Here is a 22,205-nt window from a genome sequence, read left to right as displayed (position 1 = left end):
AAGTCAATTTTGTTGGAAGCAGTGCCTTTGACAGATTCATGCCAAGATGAAAGAATAATTTTTGTTTTGAACAGTAGGTTGAAAGATTAACAATAAGAAATAGAAAAATCATTTTTATTGGGAGATGCAGGGCTAAGAGATTTGTGATTTAAGAATCTATTTTTTTCTTTTTTCATTCTTGGAATCTGATGGTCTAAGAGTATTTTTTTAAGATCCTTTTAATTGTCCATAGTTTTTTTCTAGAAACCTCAGCTAATGATTTTGTAAGAGCTAAAGTCAAGTTTGCTGATAGTTTTCCCTTGCATTAAGGTTATTTTAAATAAATCATAAGAAAGTTACTTTACAAATACGTCTTTACTTCTGTATTTTCATCTGTTTACGTCAGAGTAAAACATGCAAAGATTCTGAGAGACTTAAATCACCAAAAGGTCAGCATTTGTGCCTGTTTTATTAAATTCTATATTTATCAGTCTTTTGGTGCCCCATATGAGAAAAATAAATATATCTGCTGATAGCCATAAATATATATAAGTTCTTCCATGGATTTATGGGTGATAATTTCCTGCCAGTAAAAAAAAGTAAGACATATTTACCATTAACATGGTCTGTCATCAATTCTTTAAATTCTAGAGAGTTACTTTCTTCAACATGCAATTTAGAAACTATTTTAAAGCCCCTGTATAATTATAAAAATATTAAAATTTGAAGCAATTGCATCATATCAATTTAAAATTGAAAAGGGTTACATTGTAGTATTCAAATTTTCCTATTTACAGTGGTGGCCCACAAAGGACAACACCCAATTCAGGGAATATGTTCACAGTATACTCCAGTGACTCTTTAGACTCAGGTACAGCAGGACCCGCATCCTTGCTCTCCCAAGTTCTTCCTGTGGAAACTCCACCAGGTTCTTGAACCTCTTTAAATACCTTTCCTCATCTGTAAAATAAAAACACTACTAGTACATACTTCATTCACTTTTTATAAAGCTTAAATAAGGCATTGTTTCTAAAGTAATTAGCATGGTGTCTAACAGTGGGAAAAGTCAATAAGTGAGTAGAAATTACTTAGTAATTGTTGCCATTAGTGGTGTAGTAATGATAGGTAAATACAATGCTTTGGACGATAACCCAGATTTCTCCCTATATAGCTATTTCTTTTTATATGTCATTCAGCTGGATCTTTCAAAGAATATATTAAACATTGTTTCTTACATATATTCTGGAAATAAATTAAAAAAAACTAATGCAGAAAATTCCTCAATATCACAAGATTTTTACAGTCTGTTTTTATTTTTCCATCTACCATCTTTGGCAAATTTGCTTGTGTGGAACAGTATACTGGATTTGATTTTAAACAAATAATGATAATTAACAAAATAGTTGTAAATCATCTGTAATCTGACAGTTATTGTTACGCCTTGTATCTGCCTGCTGTGACCTTTTATTTCTAAATCTATAAAAATGTTCCTCATTATGAATGGCAAGATTGAGTTCTATTTGTCCAATGTTATTCCATGAAATTTATTTCTATAAGTTTTTGAGTCATTATAACAAGGATATGAGTTAGATAAGTACGATCCCTGTGCTAGTGTGCTAAGGATGCCATTACAAAGAACCACAGACTGAATGGCTTAAACAACAGAAATTAACATTGTCTCTGTTCTGTAGGCCAGGAGTCTAAGATCAAATTGACAGCAGAGCTTATTTCATTCTAAGGTCTCTTTCCTTGGTTTGTAGATAATGTTCTTCCTCTGGTATCTACAAATGGTCTATTTTTTGTGTGCCTGTGTCCTAATCTCCTCTTCTTATAATGATGTCAGTCATGCTGGATTAAGACCACATTTAACCTTAACTATTTTTTTAAATACCTGTCTCCAATTTCAGTCACATTCTGAGGTACTGCTGGAAATTAGAACTCCAACATATGATTTCTGTGGAAACACAACACACCCTGTAACAATCCCTATTGTTAACAGATGAGACCAGCAACGAACAAAGAAAATTTTCCCACAGGTACACGAGTAGCTATTATAATACTTGGGATTTTAGCTCAAGTAATCTAACAACAAAGGCTAAATTTGTAGTGGTAGTTAGACCAACTTTGCTAGAAATAAGTCAACAAATAATAGCCGTGTCTATGAAGCACCTGACTGTTTTTGCTATGGTAAAATCATAACTATTTCATTTTCCATCTGGCTGTCCAATGCTCTAGGCTTTCATATACTACATTAAAGAGTGGAGGTGACCTAAAATATTACAGAATATAAAGCAGAAAAAGAAAAACTTGATGACCAAAACATGTATGAAAATTTTTTGTCCATAAAAATGTTTCATGTAGAGTCAATCATATGGATAAAGTATGTGCAAATACAGATGTTAAAGATCTTTCCTTCATATATAAAAAGAGATCATAGAAAAATGACAGACAATAATAAACACTTAATAGATAAATGAAAAAAATTATACCAATAAGTAGATCATTTACTCATACAGTTCATTTAGACCTAATAAACTTTGATTAATGTGCCATCTCAAAAGTAAATATAATAATAATGAAGTAGAATTTTCCCATTAATTTAAAAAAAAACATTTGTTTAAGAGGAGCATCCAGTGTTAGTTGTCAAAGTCATACTCCGTTAATGTCTGAAGGATGTATAAAGCTCACAGGAAATTAAATTGATAATACACACAAAAAATCCTTAAAATGTTGTTGTTTTTTGAACTAGGAGTCTTCTGGGAATGTATCAAAATGAAATAGTATTAAATATATTATCAAAGATTTTACAAACATAATTATTTTAATGTTAGTTAAAATTAATTGGAAATAACCTCAGTGGAAGGAAAGAAAATTATTTGGTAAAATTTTTACATTCATATGATGTGAAATATCCTGTTATGTTTAAATGAGTTTGTTAAGAACAGGGTAATGTGAATATTGTAATGTAAAAAATGAAGGGAAAGACTGAAAGACTCAAAATGTAAACATTTTCTTTTCTGTGGAAAAATGTGAATGACTTTTAAATCCCTTTTTATACAAGTAGTATTTTGATACTTTAAAAAAATAAGTCAATATGAACAATCAAAATGAATTTAAAACTATACAATTAAAAGTCCTGTTTGAATTTTCTCATAGAGATTTTAAGAGTACAGTATATAATTTTATCTAATCCCAAATAGAGATATGGGTAAAAATAATTATAAATTTTGGGATATGATGAACTGGAAGAAGGAAAAATTTAAGTTTACATGAGAAATGTACTGATATTCCTGCATAAGGTCAGACCCATATATGAGCATAACCTAACCATTAACTAAAAGAGAGCATTTCAAGGATATTCTTATTCATTCATACATATTAATTGAAGACCTACTATGTAATAGACACTTTTGTTGGCACTGTGGATATCTAACAATCAGGATAGGAAAGAATCACTACTTTCAACATGAATTATTTGGCAGAGAGAGAGGCAAACACATAGGTATGTATATAATAAGTTAGATGGTAATGAGAACTAATAAAATGAAGTAGAAAAAAGAGAAATGCAAATCAAAACCACTATGAGATATCATCTCACACCAGTTAGAATGGCAATCATTAAAAAGTCAGGAAACAACAGGTGCTGGAGAGGATGTGGAGAAATAGGAACACTTTTACACTGTTGGTGGGACTGTAAACTAGTTCAACCATTGTGGAAGTCAGTGTGGCGATTCCTCAGGGATCTAGAACTAGAAATACCATTTGACCCAGCCATCCCTTTACTGGGTATATACCCAAAGGACTATAAATCATGCTGCTATAAAGACACATGCACACGTATGTTTATTGCGGCACTATTCACAATAGCAAAGACTTGGAACCAACCCAAATGTCCAACAATGATAGACTGGATTAAGAAAATGTGGCACATATACACCATGGAATACTATGCAGCCATAAAAAATGATGAGTTCATATCCTTTGTAGGGACACGGATGAAATTGGAAACCATCATTCTCAGTAAACTATCGCAAGAACAAAAAACCAAACACCGCATATTCTCACTCATAGGTGGGAATTGAACAATGAGATCACATGGACACAGGAAGGGGAATATCACACTCTGGGGACTGTGGTGGGGTCGGGGGAGGGGGGAGGGATAGCACTGGGAGATATACCTAATGCTAGATGACACATTTAGTGGGTGCAGCACACCAGCATGGCACATGTATACATATGTAACTAACCTGCACAATGTGCACATGTACCCTAAAACTTAGAGTATAATAAAAAAAATTTAAAAAAAAAAAAGAAAAGAAAAAAATTAGGTAGAAGTTTCTGGATCAGGGTGAAATTTTAAATTTAATTTTGAATAAGGGATTCAAAGAAGGCCTCCATGAAAAGACATTTGGGTCATGAGTGGAAGGTGATGAGAAGCAAATCTTATGGATTTCTGGGGGAGAGATATTCTAGAAAGAATGGCAAGTTTCAAAGGCCTTGGAAAGGAAAGTGTCTGACGTGTTCAAAAAATAAGGCTAGTATGGCTAAAATTTTCTGGACAAAAAAGAGATTAGAGGTAGAAAAACCCAGGGTCACTCAGAGATCTTAATAAATATTAACCAGTTCACCTGGCTAAAAATTCTTCTAAGCCAACTGGTAATATATACACCAGCTCCATAACAACTACTTACAAATGAACTAAGTCTTGAAGAGTAGTTTTTATTATTTATTTTGCATTACACCATTAGTTCCCATTATCTAAAAATACTTATGTTGAAATGCATTTTGTATGTTGCAGATGAATCTAAGTTTTTTCCAATTAGAACTACGAATGCCAATAATAAACAAATACACAGATAGCTTTCTAGAAATCTTTATTATTGAGTTTTCCCTCATATTTTAAAAGTTTATGTCACTTATATATTTTGGATTTGAGAAAGACGACATGAGATCACATGACATTATTCATCTGGGATATCTGCCATAAATTAATTTCTACAGCTATTTTTTTTCTTTCCAACTTTTTTTTTATACTTTAAGTTTTAGGGTACATGTGCACAATGTGCAAGTTAGTTACATATGTATACATGTGCCATGCTGGTGGGCTGCACCCACTAACTCATCATCTAGCATTAGGTATATCTCCCAATGCTATCCCTCACCCCTCCCCCCACCCCACAACAGTCCCCAGAGTGTGATGTTCCCCTTCCTGTGTCCATGTGTTCTCATTGTTCAATTCCCACCTATGAGTGAGAATATGCGGTGTTTGGTTTTTTTGTTCTTGCGATAGTTTACTGAGAATGATGATTTCCAATTTCATCCATGTCCCTACAAAGGACATGAACTCATCATTTTTTATGGCTATATAGTATTCCATGGTGTATATGTGCCACATTTTCTTAATCCAGTCTATCATTGTTGGACATTTGGGTTGGTTCCAAGTCTTTGCTATTGTGAATAATGCCGCAATAAAATTTATTTTAGGTTAGGTGTGTACATTTGTAGGTGTGTTACACGGGTAAATTGTGGACCAGGGGTTTGGTGTACAGATAATTTTGTCACCCAGGTAATTAGCATAGTACCCAATAGGTAGTTTTTCAATTATCACCCTTCTCCTACCCTCTGCCCTCAAGTAGACCCCAGAGTCTGTTGTTCCCGTTTTTGTGTCCACATGTATCCAATGTTTAACTCCCACTTATAAGTGAGAACATGCAGTATTTGGTTTTCTGTTCCCATGTTAATTCGCTTAGGATAGATAATGTGCGGTATTTGGTTTTCTGTTCCCATGTTAATTCGCTTAGGATAGATAATGCCCTCCAACTCCACTTGTGTTGCTGCAGAGGGCATGATTTCATTATTTTCATGGCTGTGTACTATTCCATTGTGTATATGCATCACATTTTCTTTATTCAGTCCACTGCTAATGGGCATCTAGGTTGATTTCATGTCTTTGCTATTGTAAATAGTGCCGCAATGAACATATGTGTGCATGTGTCTTTACTGTAGAATAATTTATATTCCTTTGCATATATACCCAGAAGTGGGATAGCTAGGTCGAATGGTAGTTCCATTTTAAGTTCTTTGAGAAATCTCCAAATTGCTTTCCACAATGTCTGAACTAATTTACATTCCAACTGACAATGTATAAGCGTTCCCCCTTCTCCACAACCTTACCAGCATGTGGTATTTCTGACTTTTTACTAATGGCCAATCTTGCCCGGTCAGTCCCACAGGCCCTAGCTGAGTGACGGATGAAAGGAGTACTCAGACACAGGTATGCAGTGTAAGAGCAGCTGGGGGCTTCTGGGCTCTAGTGGCCAAGGTGCAGCAGCAACCCCAAGAAGCTGAAGCTGCTTGCTTTTATTCAGAGCAGACAGAATGCCAAAAGCCTGGAGCAAACACAATCTGTGGGTAATTAACATTTATAGTTCCCCTTTCAGGGAACCTCATGTGCATGGATGATCAAAGATTGGGTTCCCAGTCAACATAAGTAAACAAGCCTGTTTAAGATAAATTCCCCTACACTTCCTTGTACCTACTCCTTGCCCTCTGCCTTAGGGTCAGAGAACAGCAGCCTTCAGCTATTCTCCCCTGGAGCTTTGCAAAGCCTTCCAGCCTTTTGGGAAGGCCTGCTCCTTTCCCTGTCATTTCTCCCACCACTCTGGCTGATTTCCTACACATTCTGACTGGTGTGAGATGGTTTATCACTGTGGTTTGATTTTCATCTTGCCATAGTTAGTGATGTTGAGCATTTTTCATATGCTTGTTGGTTGACTGTATGTCTTCTTTGGAGAAGTGTCTGTTCATGTCCTTTGCCCATTTTTTTAAATGGGTTTCTTTGTTTTTTGCTTCTTGATTTCATTAAATTCCTCATTGATTTTGGATACAGACTGTATTAGTCCATTTTCTTGCTGCTGATAAAGATATACCTGAGACTGAGCAATTTACAAAATAAAGAGGTTTATCGGACTTACAGTTCCATGTGACTGGAGAGGCCTCACAATCATGGTGGAAGGTAAAAGGCACATCTCAGTTGGTGGCAGGTAAGAGAAGAGGGCTTGTGCAGGAAAACTCCCCTTTTAAAACCATCAGATCTCAGCCAAGTGCGGTGGCTCATGCCTGTAATCCCAGCACTTTGGGACACTGAGGCAGGTGGATCATGAGGTCAGGAGATTGAGACCATCCTGGCTAAAATGGTGAAACACTGTCTCTACTAAAAATACAAAAAATTAGCTGGGCGTGGTGGTGGGTGCCTGTAGTCCCAGCTACTCAGGAGGCTGAGGCAGGAGAATGGCATGAACGCAGGAGATGGAGCTTGCAGTGAGCTGAGATCATGCCACTGCATTCCAGCCTGGGTTACAGAACAAGACTCCATCTCAAAAAAAATAATTAAATAGATACAATAAATATATAAATAAAACCATCAGATCTCATGAGACTTATTCACTATCACAAGAACAGCATGAGAAAGACCTGCTCCCATGATTCAATTACCTCCCACTGGGTCCCTCCTACATCGTATGGGAATTTAAGATGAGATTTTGGTGGGGACACAGCCAAACTGTATCATAGACCTTTGGTGGATGCATGCTTTGCAAATATTGTCTTCTATTTTGTAGGTTCTTGTTTTGCTCTGTTGATAGTTTCTTTCACTGTGCAGAAGCTCTTAAGTTTAATCAAGTTATACTTATCAATTTTTGTTTTTATTGCAATTGCTTATGGAATCTTCAACATGATATCTTTGCAAGGGCCTATGTCCAAAATGGTATTTCCTAGGTTTCTATCTAGGGATTTTATAGTTCTAGATCTTACATTTAAGTCTTTAATCCATCTTAAATTGACATTTGTACATGATGAAAGGGGTCCAGTTTCAGTCTTCTGCATATGACTAGCCAGTTTTCTCAGCACTGCTTATTGAATAGGGAGTCTTTTCCCCATTGCTTCTTGTTGTTGGTTTTGTCAAAGGTCAGATGGTTGTAGGTGTGTGGCTTTATTTCTTGGTTCTCTATCCTACTCCATTAATCTATGTGTCTGATTTTGTACCAGTACCGTGCTGTTTTAGTTACTGTAGCATTGTAGTATAGTTTGAAGTCAGGTAGTGTCATGCCTGTAACTTTGTTCTTTTCTTTTTGCTCAGGATTACCTTGGTTATTCAGGTTCTTTTACAGTTTTGCTGAATTTTTGAAAAGAATTTTCTAAATCTGTCTATGGACATACCACCCTGAACACACCTGATCTCATCTTAAAACTATTTCATCACTTATCCAAATATAATTACTGTGATCATTTTTTTACAAACTTATTTTCTTATATTATATCTCTTTTCATTGATTTCTTCTACTAACATGTTATTTAAATTCTACCTCATAACAACACTGTCATTTTTAAAAATATATGAGTGTGTGTATGTATATATGTTATATGTGTATATATATATTTAGAGTTTCTATGTGTGTGTGAGTGTGTGTATATATGGTGTAGATAAAATACACGCAATTTTTTTCCACATAGATGGTGTGAGAATGAGTACATGTAAAGAAAACTTTATCCAAAAACATCAATATTGAATCAAATTTTAATTTGCAAATTTTAATTCATATATAAAATATTTCCTAAATCTAAAAATGTTATGTTTTTCTATTTTTACATTAATATTTATTTCAAAATTAAATACATGGAAGAATTATGAATATTACTGATTAATGAATAATTTATACTAAAATAGCTTGTGTGTTTAAAGAAGGTGGGTTTTGAAAAGCAATTTCTTTGGATATTTAGAATCTTGATTCTCTTATTGGTAAAATGATGTTAATAACAATTGCTCTGCCTTACTCATAGGTTGCTGTGTGAGTCAATTCAGATATGATATGTAACAGTGGTTTGGATAAAGTAGATGACCCAAACCAAATATATGTGGTTGTTATTGGGTATGTTAATCTACCAAAATTTGATATCAGCTAGGAGTTTTGTCTAGTGCAAACAAACGATAGATGAAGAAGGAGGGTTGGAAATATTACAAGGCCTAATGGCTATTGAGCTCCAGTTTCAAGTAAAATGTCCTTTTTGGTTGTTATTTCATCATCTAATTAAAGACTCATTAAGGTACATGTGAAAAAGGTGAGTGTGGCAGCAAATGAGGATGAAAGGTTTTGTGGAAAAACTTAAATTTTCAAAGAGAGGAAAACAATCTATATAATCTATACAAAGAAAATGATATAGCTATTTATTGATAAGTAATTGAATAAAAAATAATTTTAATTAAAAATTTAAGATGTTAATTAAAAATAAAGTAAGTTAATAATAATAATAGGATAATGATTCAGCAATTTAAACTTAGGTATAAACAAAGGTATAGACTACAAAAGGAGAACTGTAAATGTCAATTACCAAATAACTCCAAAAGGCACCCATTTAGCAATGATAAACCAGGAAAGTTTTCTATGCCTACAAAGTAAAGTTTTAAGACTGATATTATTCTTGCCAACTATTTTGGCAACAGTTGATCTATCTTTATTTACATCGCTCTTCTCAATAAAATATCTTAAGTCAAATTGTTTATATTCTAATTAAATTCTTCCAATTTTACATTTTATAATTATTGTGTCAGTGAAGAAGTTTTATTGTTGCTCTTCTCTACTATAAATATTCAAGTGGTGGTTTTCCTCTTCTTTTTACCTTTTTAAAATTATTATTATACTTTAAGTTCTGGAGTATATGTGCAGAACATGCAGGTTTGTTACATAGTTATACACGTGACATGGTGGTCTATTGCACCCATCAACCCATCATCTACATGAGCTATTTCTCCTAATGCTATCCCTCCCCTAGTCCCCACTGCCTGACAGGCCCCAGTGTGTGATGTTCCCCTCCCTGTGTCCATGTGTTCTCACTGTTCAACTCCTATTTATGAGTGAGAACATGCGGTATTTGATTTTCTGTTCTTGTGTTGGTTTGATGAGAATGATGGTTTCCAGAGATATCCATGTCCTTGCAAAGGACATGAACTCATCCTTTTTTATGGCTGTATAGTATTCCATGGTGTATATGTGCCACATTTTCTTTATCCAGTCTATCATTGATGGGCATTTGGCTTGGTTCCAAGTCTTTGATATTGTGAATAGTGCCGCAATAAACGTATGTGTGCATGTGTCTTTATAGTAGAATGATTTGTAATCCTTTGGGTATATACTCAGTAATGGGATGGCTGGGTCAAATGGTATTTCTAGTTCTAGATGCTTGAGGAGTCGCCACACTGTCTTCTACAATGTTTGAACTAATTTACACTCCCACCAACAGTGTAAATCATTCCTATTTCTCCACATCCTTGCCAGCATCTGTTGTTTCCTGACTTTTCAATGATCACCATTCTACTGGAGTGAGATGGTATCTCATTGTGGTTTTGATTTCTCTAATGATCAGTGATGATAAGCTTTTTTTCATGTTTGTTGGCTGCATAAATGTCTTCTTTTGAGAAGTGTCTGTTCATATCCTTCACCCACTTTTTGATGGGGTTGTTTTCTTCTTGTAAATTTGTTTAAGTTCTTTGTCGATTCTGGATATTAGCCCTTTGTCTGTCAGATGAATAGATTGCAAGCATTTTGTTTCATTCTGTAGGCTGCCTGTTCACTCTGTTGATAGTTTCTTTTGCTGTGCAGAAGCTCTTTAGTTTAATCAGATCTCATTTGTCTATTTTGGCTTTTGTTGCCATTGCTTTTTGTGTTCTAGTCATGAAGTCTTTGCCCATGCCTATGTCCTGAATGGTATTGCCTAGGTATTTTCTGGGATTTTTATGGTTTTAGGTCTTACATTTAAGTCTTTAATCCATCTAGAGTTAATTTTTGTATAAAGTGTAAGGAAGGGATCCAGTTTCAGCTCTCTGCGTATGACTAGCCAGTTTTCCCAACACCATTTATTAAATAGGGAATCATTTCTCCATTGCTGGTTTTGTCAGGTTTGTCAAAGATCAGATGGTTGTAGATATGTGGTGTTATTTCTGAGGCCTCTGTTGTGTTCCATTGGTCTATATATCTGTTTTGGTACCCGTACCATGCTGTTTTTGTTACTGTAGCCTTGTAGTATAGTTTGAAGTCAGGTAGAGTGATGCCCCAGCTTTGTTCTTTTTGCTTAGGATTGTCTTGGCTATGTGGGCTATTTTTTGGTTCCATAAATAATTTAAAGTAGTTTTTTTTTCAATTTTGTGAAGAAAGTCAACGGTAGCTTGATGAGGATAGCATTGAATCTAAAAATTACTTTGGGCAGTATGGCCATTTTTATGATACTGACTCTTCCTTTTCATGATCATGGAATACTTTTCCATTTGTTTGTATCCTCTCTTATTTCCTCGAGCAGTGGTTTGTAGTTCTCCTTGAAGAGGTCCTTCACATCCCTTCTAAGTTGTATTGCGAGGTACTTTATTCTCTTTGTAGCAATTGTGAATGGGAATTCACTCATGATTTGGCTCTTTGTCTGTTATAGGTGCATAGGAATGGTTGTGATTTTTGCACATTGATTTTTTATGCTGAGACTTTGCTGAAGTTGCTTATCAGCTTAAGGAGATCGTAGGCTGAGATGATGGGGTTTTCTAAATATACAATCATGTCATCTGCAAACAAAGACAATTTGACTTCCTCTTTTCCTAATTGAATACCATTTACTTTTTTCTCATGCCTGATTGCTCTGACCAGAACTTGTAATACTATGTTGAATAGGAGTGGTGAGAGAGGGCATCCTTGTCTTGTGCCTGTTTTCCGAGGGAATGCTTCCAGTTTTTCCCCATTAAGTATGATATTGGCTGTGGGTTTGTCTTTTTACCTTTCTAAATAATGTTACTCATCTTTGTTGGTCTCTATTAAGTTCTAACTTTTCTATTTTTTTTGCACTGAACCCTGTATCTCATATCAATCTGCACACTAATCTGAAGTTTTGTAACATTTACTGTCCATTCAGTCATTTGGCATATCATCTACCTCTCACGTTGAATGATAACAAATGTTTGATTTTTTTTTCTTTTAGTTATAAATACTTCTCTTCCAGCTGATTTTTAAAGGACCTAAACCTTAATCTGAATTAGGTTAAGGTGGACCTTAACTTAATTAGTCTGATTTTTAATTTAGAGCATTAAGTTCATAGATTGAGCTAGAAAACTTGCTCATTTACATTCTTGTTAGAGAATATTCACTCATGAATTTAACTTATTTTAAAAAACAAATAATTATACATTTTAGTTATTGTTTACAGTTTTGGAGATGCAACAGAAAACAGGTCTGAAAAAGTATATATGCCCTCATCAAAACTATATTTTTATGAAAATAAAGCCAATACATCTATGATAAATAAATACATGTAAAGATGATGTATGGTAATTTATGTGATTAAAAAAAGAAAAATTTTTAAAAAGTTCTATCAGCTGATAGGGCAGGCATTTTTCTTTGGATAGAGTTGGCAAGGAAAAGAGTGGGACTACTTACCCCCAAAGCTCCATAAGGAGGGGCTCCCTAAGGTCATCATTCTTGAAATTAAGCTTGTCTGTAAGAAAAATTTGAGACCACATCTCAGGCAAGAGGATTTGATTAGCTTGAATCATCAGCTCCACTCTGAAATCACCATTCAAATCATGGGGAGAAGATGGAGTCCCAAGACTCTTGGAATTTTTTGCTGTATAAGAATAGAGTATCATTGTTTCTTCTCTGTTGTCTTCTGATGTCGGAAGTTTGCAGAGTCATCCTGTGCCACCAGGATAAATACCAATTGTGGTGTTGCCAGGCTGAAAATAAATAGAGGAGGGCAATTATTTATGTTTGTCAATGGTTCAGAACCATATGAATGAACATAAGAAATAGAGAAGAAAGAAACAGCTTAGGACTGCTTGATATGGTTGGCTCTGCCTCCACCCAAGCTATCATCTTGAATTATAATTCCCATAATCCCCATGTGTCAACGGGTGGACCAGGTGGAGGTAATCGGATCATGAGGGCAGTTTCCCCTATGCTTTTCTTGTGATAGTGAGTGAGTCTTAGGAGATCTGATGGCTTTAAAAGCATCTGGTGTTTCCCCTGCCTGCAGTCACTCCATCTTGCCACTCTGTGAAGAAGGTGCCTCCTTCTCTGTTACCTTCCACCATAAATGTAAGTTTCCTGAGGCCTCTCAAGCCATGAGGAACTGTGAGTCAATTAAAACTTTCTTTTATAAATTACCCAGCCTCAGATATTTCTTAATAACAGTGATTGATCCAGACTAATACACTGCTCAAGGGTCCACTCAGTTGACTAACAGATTGCTTTATCTTAAAAGGATATTTAAGAGCTTAATATTTTGGGAAGTTGAAAAATATAGGGCTACATAACTCTACATACTCACTCAGTGAAAAGAGTGAGCTGAAGTGACAATATCTACTGTTTCCAAAGGAACTAGATACCCCATCAACACATTGTCTTTGGGCAAACCTATCAATAAAAACCAGCAGAAGAGATGAAAACAGGGTGATCCAGAGACTAACCAAACATATTGCAAACACTGACAGGTAACACATTTGACTACTTAAGACACAAAACAAATACAGTAAGATATTCAGGTGTTTGGGGTTTTTAGAGAATGCCTGCCTACAGTTAAACCCATTGGCAGGACATGATTCTTAATGGGTTTAGAGCCATGTCAGACAACATTAAATTCTAATCCATCCCCCAAAGTACTTCTGATGTTGCATACATGTCTTCCCAAAATCATTTACTGAGGAAACATTGAAGAGTCTGAAAGAGTATTAGTGGATTACTGCAACTCATTACAGTTATTAGGAAAACAACTCACATGTTTGAGAGTGGCTCAGCAGATAACCCCAAAATGTTAAAAATCATTCCTAGAAAAGTACACGTCTTAAGTGAATTAGGAATTCTCTAAACAAGTAATCTCTAGGATTACTTGTTTAAACATATAATTCAATTTGTATTTTGAATTCATCTTCATATGTCCCAACTGCCTTTTACATTAGTAGAAAATATTTTCACTTGTTTGATGTACAAAGAGGCAATTCATTTCTATTTTATTTATTTATTTATTTTTATTTTTTGATCCACATTTCAGTTAGAAAAGAAAAAAAGTTCTATTGACTTTTATGTCCATCTTGTATTTAAGGAGACTTGTTGAGATGTAAATTAATGTATAATGTAAAAAATATAATGAAATCCCTTTTGCTTTTCAAACATGTTTATTATTATTCTAAAACGAAAATATCTGAATTTCCCTATTGGAAAAAAGAAGTCATCTTTGTTAAAATCTTACTTTACAGTAATTAGAAAGTTACACATTGTTAAAGAAAAGACCTGAGGCAAGTTAAATTTAGCAGAGTTTAAGCAGAAGAAAAGATTCATGAAGCAGGTTGCACTCAGGACCAAAAGCAGTTCAGAGAGTTCTGTCCTCCAATATGTGCAGGCAATATTTAGAGTCAGAGAAGTGAAAACGATGTACAGAAATAGCCTGATTGGATGCAGTATGACATTTGCTTAATTTGAACATATTTTGACAGCTTTCAGTCTATGATTGGCTGAAGTTTCAGCTGTTCTGATTGGCTGAGATTTGGCTACAGTAAGGTGCCAGTTAACAACCTCCATAGCTTATTGGGAACTGTGCCTTATAGCAGAAGCACACATAGGAGGTCCTCGAATAAGGTTGTCCCATTCAATTTTGTTTTTTATAAATGTAATAGGAAAATAAAAACTGGTTTTATGTCATTTCACCTAAAATCAGTTTCCAAGAACCTGTAAACTACATTAAATGAGGACTTAATATACTTGTAAAAAGAATATACTCGCAGATTAGGTCGCAGTTTGTTTACACATTAAGTTACATTACAGTTTCCTGGATACAGAGGCAGATTTAGGCTAAACTTATTTCAATTTAACAACATGTATGGATACACTCACAACTACATGGTTAATACATCTCGGTAAGCTACATACAAATTATTAGACTCTACTATACATATATGATTATTAATATGGTAAGATGAGTATCCAACCTAGAGCTTTTGTCAAGGCAAGACAGCTAATTCCTGAAAGTACAGACTGTGGAATCCTTTCACCTGTCGCTATTGCTTGATTAGTTTCTAACAAATCGGTGATTTTTACATTGCTGCACAGTATTTTGTGACTAAAAGAGTCATCATATTAAACAATTAATATGATGCTTTAATATGATGCTTCCACCTCAGTGGAAGAACTAAGCAGTAATAATGAGCAATTAGAAAATTCATATTGGTATTGCATCAACCTAAAGCATTTTGAAGGAAATGTAGTGATTTAATTTAGGCTCCAGAGAATAGAAAATTACAATCTGCCAAACTTAGGTATGTTTATCTTTCAACATCTAAATTATTATCATGTGCTCTTTTCTCAATGTGGTAATGTTAGGTCTCTAACATACGTGCCATAGAGAAAAGAAGTTAAGATTGTACTATTTGGGAAGGAGGCAGGTATTCCAAAGTAAACTAAAACTTTCTTCTATAAGGAAACAGTTATACCAGAGCTACTGAAGTGTAAGGAGGAGTGGGAACGTTTTTCTTTAATAAATGTGAGTGCACCTAGTGGGAGACAATCAGCAAACAAATTTTGGGAATCCTAACTGATGTGCCCTCCCTTTCAGGCTATTTCTCCCACAATATCATCACTTATCAAATAGAAGCAATGACCAAGGAGATCTCAGAGAGATGTTGTATGTACTCATAAATAAAAATAGAGTCACCCCAAATGTGATAAGACAAAACAAGTAAGTCTGAAGTATATCTCAGAATAATGAAAGAAGTACAGATGTTCCTGGATTTATTTCTGAGGTCACATACAATAAACCCATCATAAGTTCAAAATACTGAAAGTCAAAAGTGCATTTAATACACCCAACTTAGGGAACATCATAGCTTAATTTAGCCTAACTTTAATGTGCTGAAATAATTACATAGCCTACAGTTGGTCAAAGTCACTTAAAACAAAGCCCATTTTTTAATATAGTATTGAATATCTCACATAATTTATGAAAATGAAACACATAATGTTTGTATCGGTACTTGAAGTATGGTTTCTACTAAATATGTATTACTTATGTACCATGTTAAAGAAAATTTTGTAAGCTGAATCATTAAAATTTGGGGACCACGTGATCAAGAGTGAGTAGCTAAGTGAGTTTGCTCAAAAAACAAAAATAAAATTTTTGAGGAGACTGTAAAGTATAACAGATAAGGCAAATGAGGTAAGAATGACATTTGCCAAGTCTTAAATAAAAACTGAGCATTGTAACTAAAAATTCATTATTTTTTTATGATGAAATCTTAGACCATTGATTTAGAACTTCTTTGCTACTGTATTTAAAAATATAAGTTTACTTCCAGACATTACTTCAGCTGAATCACACAAATTTTAATACAGTGTCTTAAAAGTGAACATTGTAACTAAAAATCCAATGGGATTACAGGGCCAATCCCTTGCAGAGCAATGATGCAGTAAGAAAGGGCTAGAATAGTTTCTTCCTTGACTGTACCCTCAAAAACTTCAGCATATTTTGAAGAACAGCCGTGTCATAAATGTTGATAGAGAATATTTATCCATTTAGTTTATTTCCATGTAACTCGGTTTACATTTCTCAAATGTCTTGTAGGGAGCACTGTAATCAGCCATAAAGTTGGAAAAACAAAATAATATATTTCCACATTCCAAAAGTAATTATAATATAACAAAGAGGTGGAAAGGTCAATCAAATATTTCAGCATAATTTGCCAGGCTCACAGTTAAAGTATTTGTGGAAGCAATAAAAATATATCAGAGACCATCTAAATCAAATTTTCAGTTGGTGTTAAAGAATATACCAAGAGATGAGACTTGCATTGAATTATAAATGAAAAATGGGTACAAGCAAGATAAATAGATTGATTGAGAGTCTGTGAGAGAAAGAGAGATTAAGATGGACTGCATTTATGACAAAAGGTGTACTAGTCTAAAGTAACTTCTACAAAAGCAGCCTCACACATGTAGACACTCCTCAATGATTTTGGAAAATGAAATGAGCCATGGAGATAAGGCAAAATCTCAATAATAAACAGCTGTGGTATGCGAATTTATCAGAACCATCATTCCAATTTTGACTTAAAAATTGTGACTCATATATATATATGAGAATATGTCACAGAAAATAAAACACATGGGCACATGTAATTTTTAAAATTTCAATGTAATGTGCTATATTTAATAAAATAAAAACTAAATGTATAGCAATATCTATTAAGATATGATGTATATCAGGAAAAAATGCTTGGATCCAATATATAAGAAGACATATAAGGTAGTTACATGCTTGTGTCTACTTAAAGTGAGTAGTATTTACTCAAGAAATAAAAATATTAGAAGACATTTTGAAAATTAATATTTTGTGTAGGAAGGTTTTTGGAAGACAATTCAATTTCTTTAATTCGTATAGAGCTATTCTTATTCTATATTTCTTCTAGAATCAATTTTGGTAACCCTTCTTTCAAAGAATTTACACATGTATCTAATTTTTGAATTTGTTTGCATAAACTTCTTATAGTATTATTCATTATCATTTTAATTTCTGTAGTCCCTGTAGTGAAGTACCTTTATTATTGTTATTGATGACACATGTCTTTTATATCTCTATTGGTTTAGAAAAAGTATTAATTCTTTGTCTTTAAGGACTCATTAACCATTGGTTTTATTTTTTAAATTACATTAAATAAAATTAACTTTACCTTTTTATTATGTGTTTATTCTTACATTCGCCTCCAATTTTGTCTTTGTTCCACAACACTGTGGGTTGGTTATTCTTTTTCTTGTTTTTAAGATGGAAACTTAGACCATTGATTTAGAACTTCTTTGCTACTCTAAGCATTTAAAAATACAAGTTTACTTCCAGACATTACACAAGGTGAATCACTCAAATTTTGATATATTGTGTATTTATTAACATTTTTAATTTCATTCAATTAAGGATATTTCCTATTTTCAGTTATAAAATCTTTTTAACCTGAGAATTACTCATAGTTGTATTTGTTTTCTAAGAGTTAGAAAATTTTCCAAATATCTTAATGTTAGTAATTTCTGATAATGCTGCTGTGGTCAAAGAACATATTCTGTATGATTTCAGTTCTTTTAAACTTAAAAATATGTGTTTTAATGGCAAAAATATGATTAATATTCATAAGTGGGTTCAGGTTGACTTAAAAAAATGCATTGTGTTGTTTAATTAAAGTGTTCCTTAAAGGCCAATGAGGTTGAGTTGACTGATACAGGCAACCAAATTAGTTCACATTTTCTACAGCCACCTAGATCTCTGTAATTGTCCCACCAAAGGCTAATATGGTTTCTGAGGAGAAATCTGGAATAATTTTTATCTTTTGTTATTCTTTACAAAATGTATCATTGTTGTCTGCTTTTACTATTTTCTCTTTTTCTGTTTTCAGTGATTTAATTGTGACATTTTGTATCGTGGATTTTGTTGTTTTATTGACAGTTTGGAATTGTTGACTGTCTTGAACTTCAAATTTATTGTTTTCATAAAATTGAAAATTTTGGCCATTAGGTTTTCAAATGTGTTTTTATTATCCCGGACTCCTCTAAGCATCTGGTTGCATGTAGCAGAACTACTTGTGATGTTTGGCTCTCTGAAACTCATTTCTTATTTGCTTCTTTTCCCGTGATTCCATTTGGACAGTTTCTATTTCTGTCCTCAAATTCAATGATTTTGCTTTATTTCTACAGTATCTAGTCTTCTTTGATCTTATCTAGCAAATTTTGTACGTTAGACAATGTATTTTGCATTTCAATAAGTTGTATTTGTTTGTTGTATGTATCCTTCATTTCATACTCATTATGCCTATGCTTTTAAAAAATATTTGAGCATGCTTATAAAAGCTACTTTAATGTTCTTGTTTGTAAATTCTTCATCTTTGACATTTCTGGATCTTACAACAATTTTTTTCTAGTTATAGATCTCATTTTTTTATTTGTTGGCATGTCTGTTGGCTTGATTAAAGGACATTTTGCTTTCTTTTATTATTTATGCCATGTGTTGTATGTTGTTGCCATTTTAAAGAGTGCTGAACTTTGTCCTTACTGGTAATTTTTCTTAGGGTCACCTTGAACCATTTGAGGCAAGTGCTTAAGGTTTGCTAGAACATGTTTATACTGGCTTTTAATCTAGGGCTTTTAATATAGTAGCTTCTATTCTAGGGCTACTTTATTTTTACTATTAAAACATTACCTTCTTGAATCTCTTTTGAATCCCCCAGTTATTCGCTGAGAACTCCCTAGTCCAGCTGGTTAGAATTTGAAAATATTAGAGTCCTTTAAAAGCTTTGGAAACACTAAGAGCTTCTGAGTCATTCTCTGCCTGGACTCACAGATTTGCATGCTACTCATACATATCTTAATACCCAGGAACAGAATAATATGAAATTCTGTGCAGTTTTCTACAGTTCTTTCTTTGTTTAGTTCCCTCTATTTATGTACTCTGCTTCACAAATTCCAAATATCTCTGAGTTATCAAACTCTAACCTCTGCCTCCCTAACTAAGCAACATCTCTTTGCTCTCAATGGGTTTCTCACTCCTTACCAGGGTCTAAAGCGTCTCCAGGCTCAAAGTCAGGTGACCACAGGGCTCACCTCATCTGTTTTTCTTTTTTTAGGGTTCATCTTCTGGCACTCTCTGTTGTCTGACGTCTGGAAGCATTTGTTTCATGTATTTGTTGATTTTCAAGTTCTTTCCAGTAGAAGTAAAAAGGTAATTTTCACATTAATTAAATTACCCCATTATGTATGGAAAGCAGAAATTCTCTTATAAAAACATATTCAGTCAATAATGTTATTTTGCTTAAACCTACAAATGTATACTATTTTTAGGCAGCAATATTTTGAAAATAACTACTTTGTAGTTCCAACAGTATTAATCAATAAATCAAGCAAGAAAGAAGCATTTCAAAAATATTAGGTACTAATTGATTTAATACCATATTTCACGATCAAGAGTGTCCCCATTTAAGTGATATATTATATGGTTATCCTATTTTTAAGTCTGTTAAAAGTTGTTTCAAATCTCCACTGTTGCATACTTGCATGTGAAAATTACCAATGTGGATTGTGTTAAACTGACAACTCAAATGTCACAAAGTCTCTGTCATATGTGTTTTATGGATTGCTTCAATGGTTAATAACTTTAGATAATGTCATAGAAGTGAAATACAGTATCTTTTTGATTATATGGTCATAGGAAAATAAAGAGTACATAAAAACTTTAAAATACTGGATTTTTATATTTTAAAAACTCAGATTCTAGGCTCTGTTTTTATAAATGGTTTTGTTGTTTCTGTTTTGTTCTGTTCTGTTTGATTTACCTGATAATCTAGATGGATGTTCAAGAATGGTAGGATACTGGGCAATTTTTACTTGGTGGTATTCTTCTTTATAAAAGAGAAACCTTAAACAGTTGTGGTTCCACCTAGTAAGTGTATAAAATTTCCCAAATATTAGGGAAAAAACATAAAACAGCCTTTGAAAGTAATACGATTCCCTTTGAAAACTACCCATAATATTGTGTGGGTTTTGTCTTACCCTCAGTGAGATGGAGACTTACTAAGGGTAGTAATGTAAGGAAGTGAAAATGTGACATAAGCATGTTAGTATTTTACTGGCTGTGTGTTGGATTAGAAATGAAGGTTTGTCAGAATAATGGTGGCAGGGAGAGAAGCAGACCAATTAGGGCATTATTTCAGAAATTTAAATATGAAGTTATGAATATAGATGTAACATGTTTAAATATATCAGCAGGGAGCAGAAGGAAAAACAACAGAGAAATAAGCATGTTTTCTAGGCTAAGATTCCAAACTGCCCAAGGAGAAAAGTGATGGTAATAGATAGAAGAAATTGGAAAAATAAGAGAAGAAAGGCAAGAAGGAAAAAACAGACTGAATTTTTACTAGATATTAGAGGAAACTACCTACATTCATTTAAAAAACAGGACGACAAATGCCATATTTTTGAAATAGAAAAGAAATAATCTTCAGGAATTATAGTACATTCTAAGAAAGCAATGTTGTAGAAGGATTTAGATAAATGTAGAAAAGTAATTTGTAAATTTAAATAGTGGTAACAGTTGGAATGTGGTTAAAAAGGACTATTGCTGTTTTTGTGATTATTAATAGCTGATGTGCTTCCTACTTTCTTGTCAGTGATACTGAGAAAAGTAGATGGAATAATTCAAAATTAATTAACAGACTTCTCAGTTCCAAACCAAATGTTCATGTTTTTAGAAATAAAGGTATTGTAAAAACCTTGGGCTTCATGTCAAATGTTATTATGTAATACGTATTGAATCACACATAATTTGAGAGCTTAATCCATTTTTTAACTTATTATATATTCCAAGTTGCTGAATCAAGTGTAACATTGTACTGAGATTCAGAAATTTCATGGGATGAACAAGATGTGGCAACAAAAGATGAAGACATGAACCTCTATCTAATAAAGATAAATTATTTTGGAGAATATTGCGTGACGAGTAATGGAAACTAGATTTCAAATATTTACTGACAAAGTGATCAATTATTGTTAAGAATCTGAAATTGTTTTTTTTGATATGTACTGAAATGTTTTATTCAAATGCTATTTTCTATTACTTACAAATAGAATCAAAATTCTAAGAGGAGAAACTATTATCCACCACTGTTTACACCAGCAAGTTATCCGGAAACCTACTCGGAACTCTGTGGGGTTGTTGTCCCTAACCGTGAGCTTCCTACTCATGCATCATAGTTAGGTTTGATGATTGTGGGGCTTGCACTATGTTCTTGAGGATCCTTATAAAAAAGACTCAACCTTTCAGGGCACATCAAATAAAGGCATTCAAACACAATGCCTGAAACTTCAACTCCATTCCCAGAAATAGGTCCCCTTGAAGATCTAGAAAAAGAGGACTATAAGGAGGAAAAGTAGAAAGTCTAGGAGGAGGAGGAAGAAAACTTAAAGAGCAGAAGGATAAGAAGGAAGGGTTCAGGTCTTGAAATAAGTAACATGGACAAAGAAGCTGAAACTGCTGAAAATTTATCTGTTAGGATACCCTATCAATATATTTTCTGTTGTGTATCTCTTAAATAGATTCACATCAACATCTGAAAAATATATATTAAAATAATACCAACATTATAAAAGACAACAATAACAGCTAACATTTGTATAGCA

General features: G+C 33.6%; 1 long non-coding RNA gene across 1 annotated transcript in view; it reads left to right on the top strand.

The window, feature by feature from the left end:
• The window catches only part of LOC107986221 (uncharacterized), a 67,141-nt gene extending 45,843 nt beyond the window's left edge, over window positions 1-21,298 (top strand). The window contains exon 3 of the long non-coding RNA XR_001741501.2: window positions 19,658-21,298. This is a non-coding gene — a long non-coding RNA (uncharacterized LOC107986221). The remainder of the gene's footprint in view (window positions 1-19,657) is intronic.
• The last annotated feature ends 907 nt before the right edge of the window (window positions 21,299-22,205 follow it).

Source organism: Homo sapiens, chromosome 4 (assembly GCF_000001405.40).
Source record: "Homo sapiens chromosome 4, GRCh38.p14 Primary Assembly".
Classification (NCBI taxonomy): Eukaryota; Metazoa; Chordata; class Mammalia; order Primates; family Hominidae; genus Homo; species Homo sapiens.
Note: the sequence above shows the minus strand (reverse complement) of the source record. Positions and strands in the feature narration are given on the sequence as shown.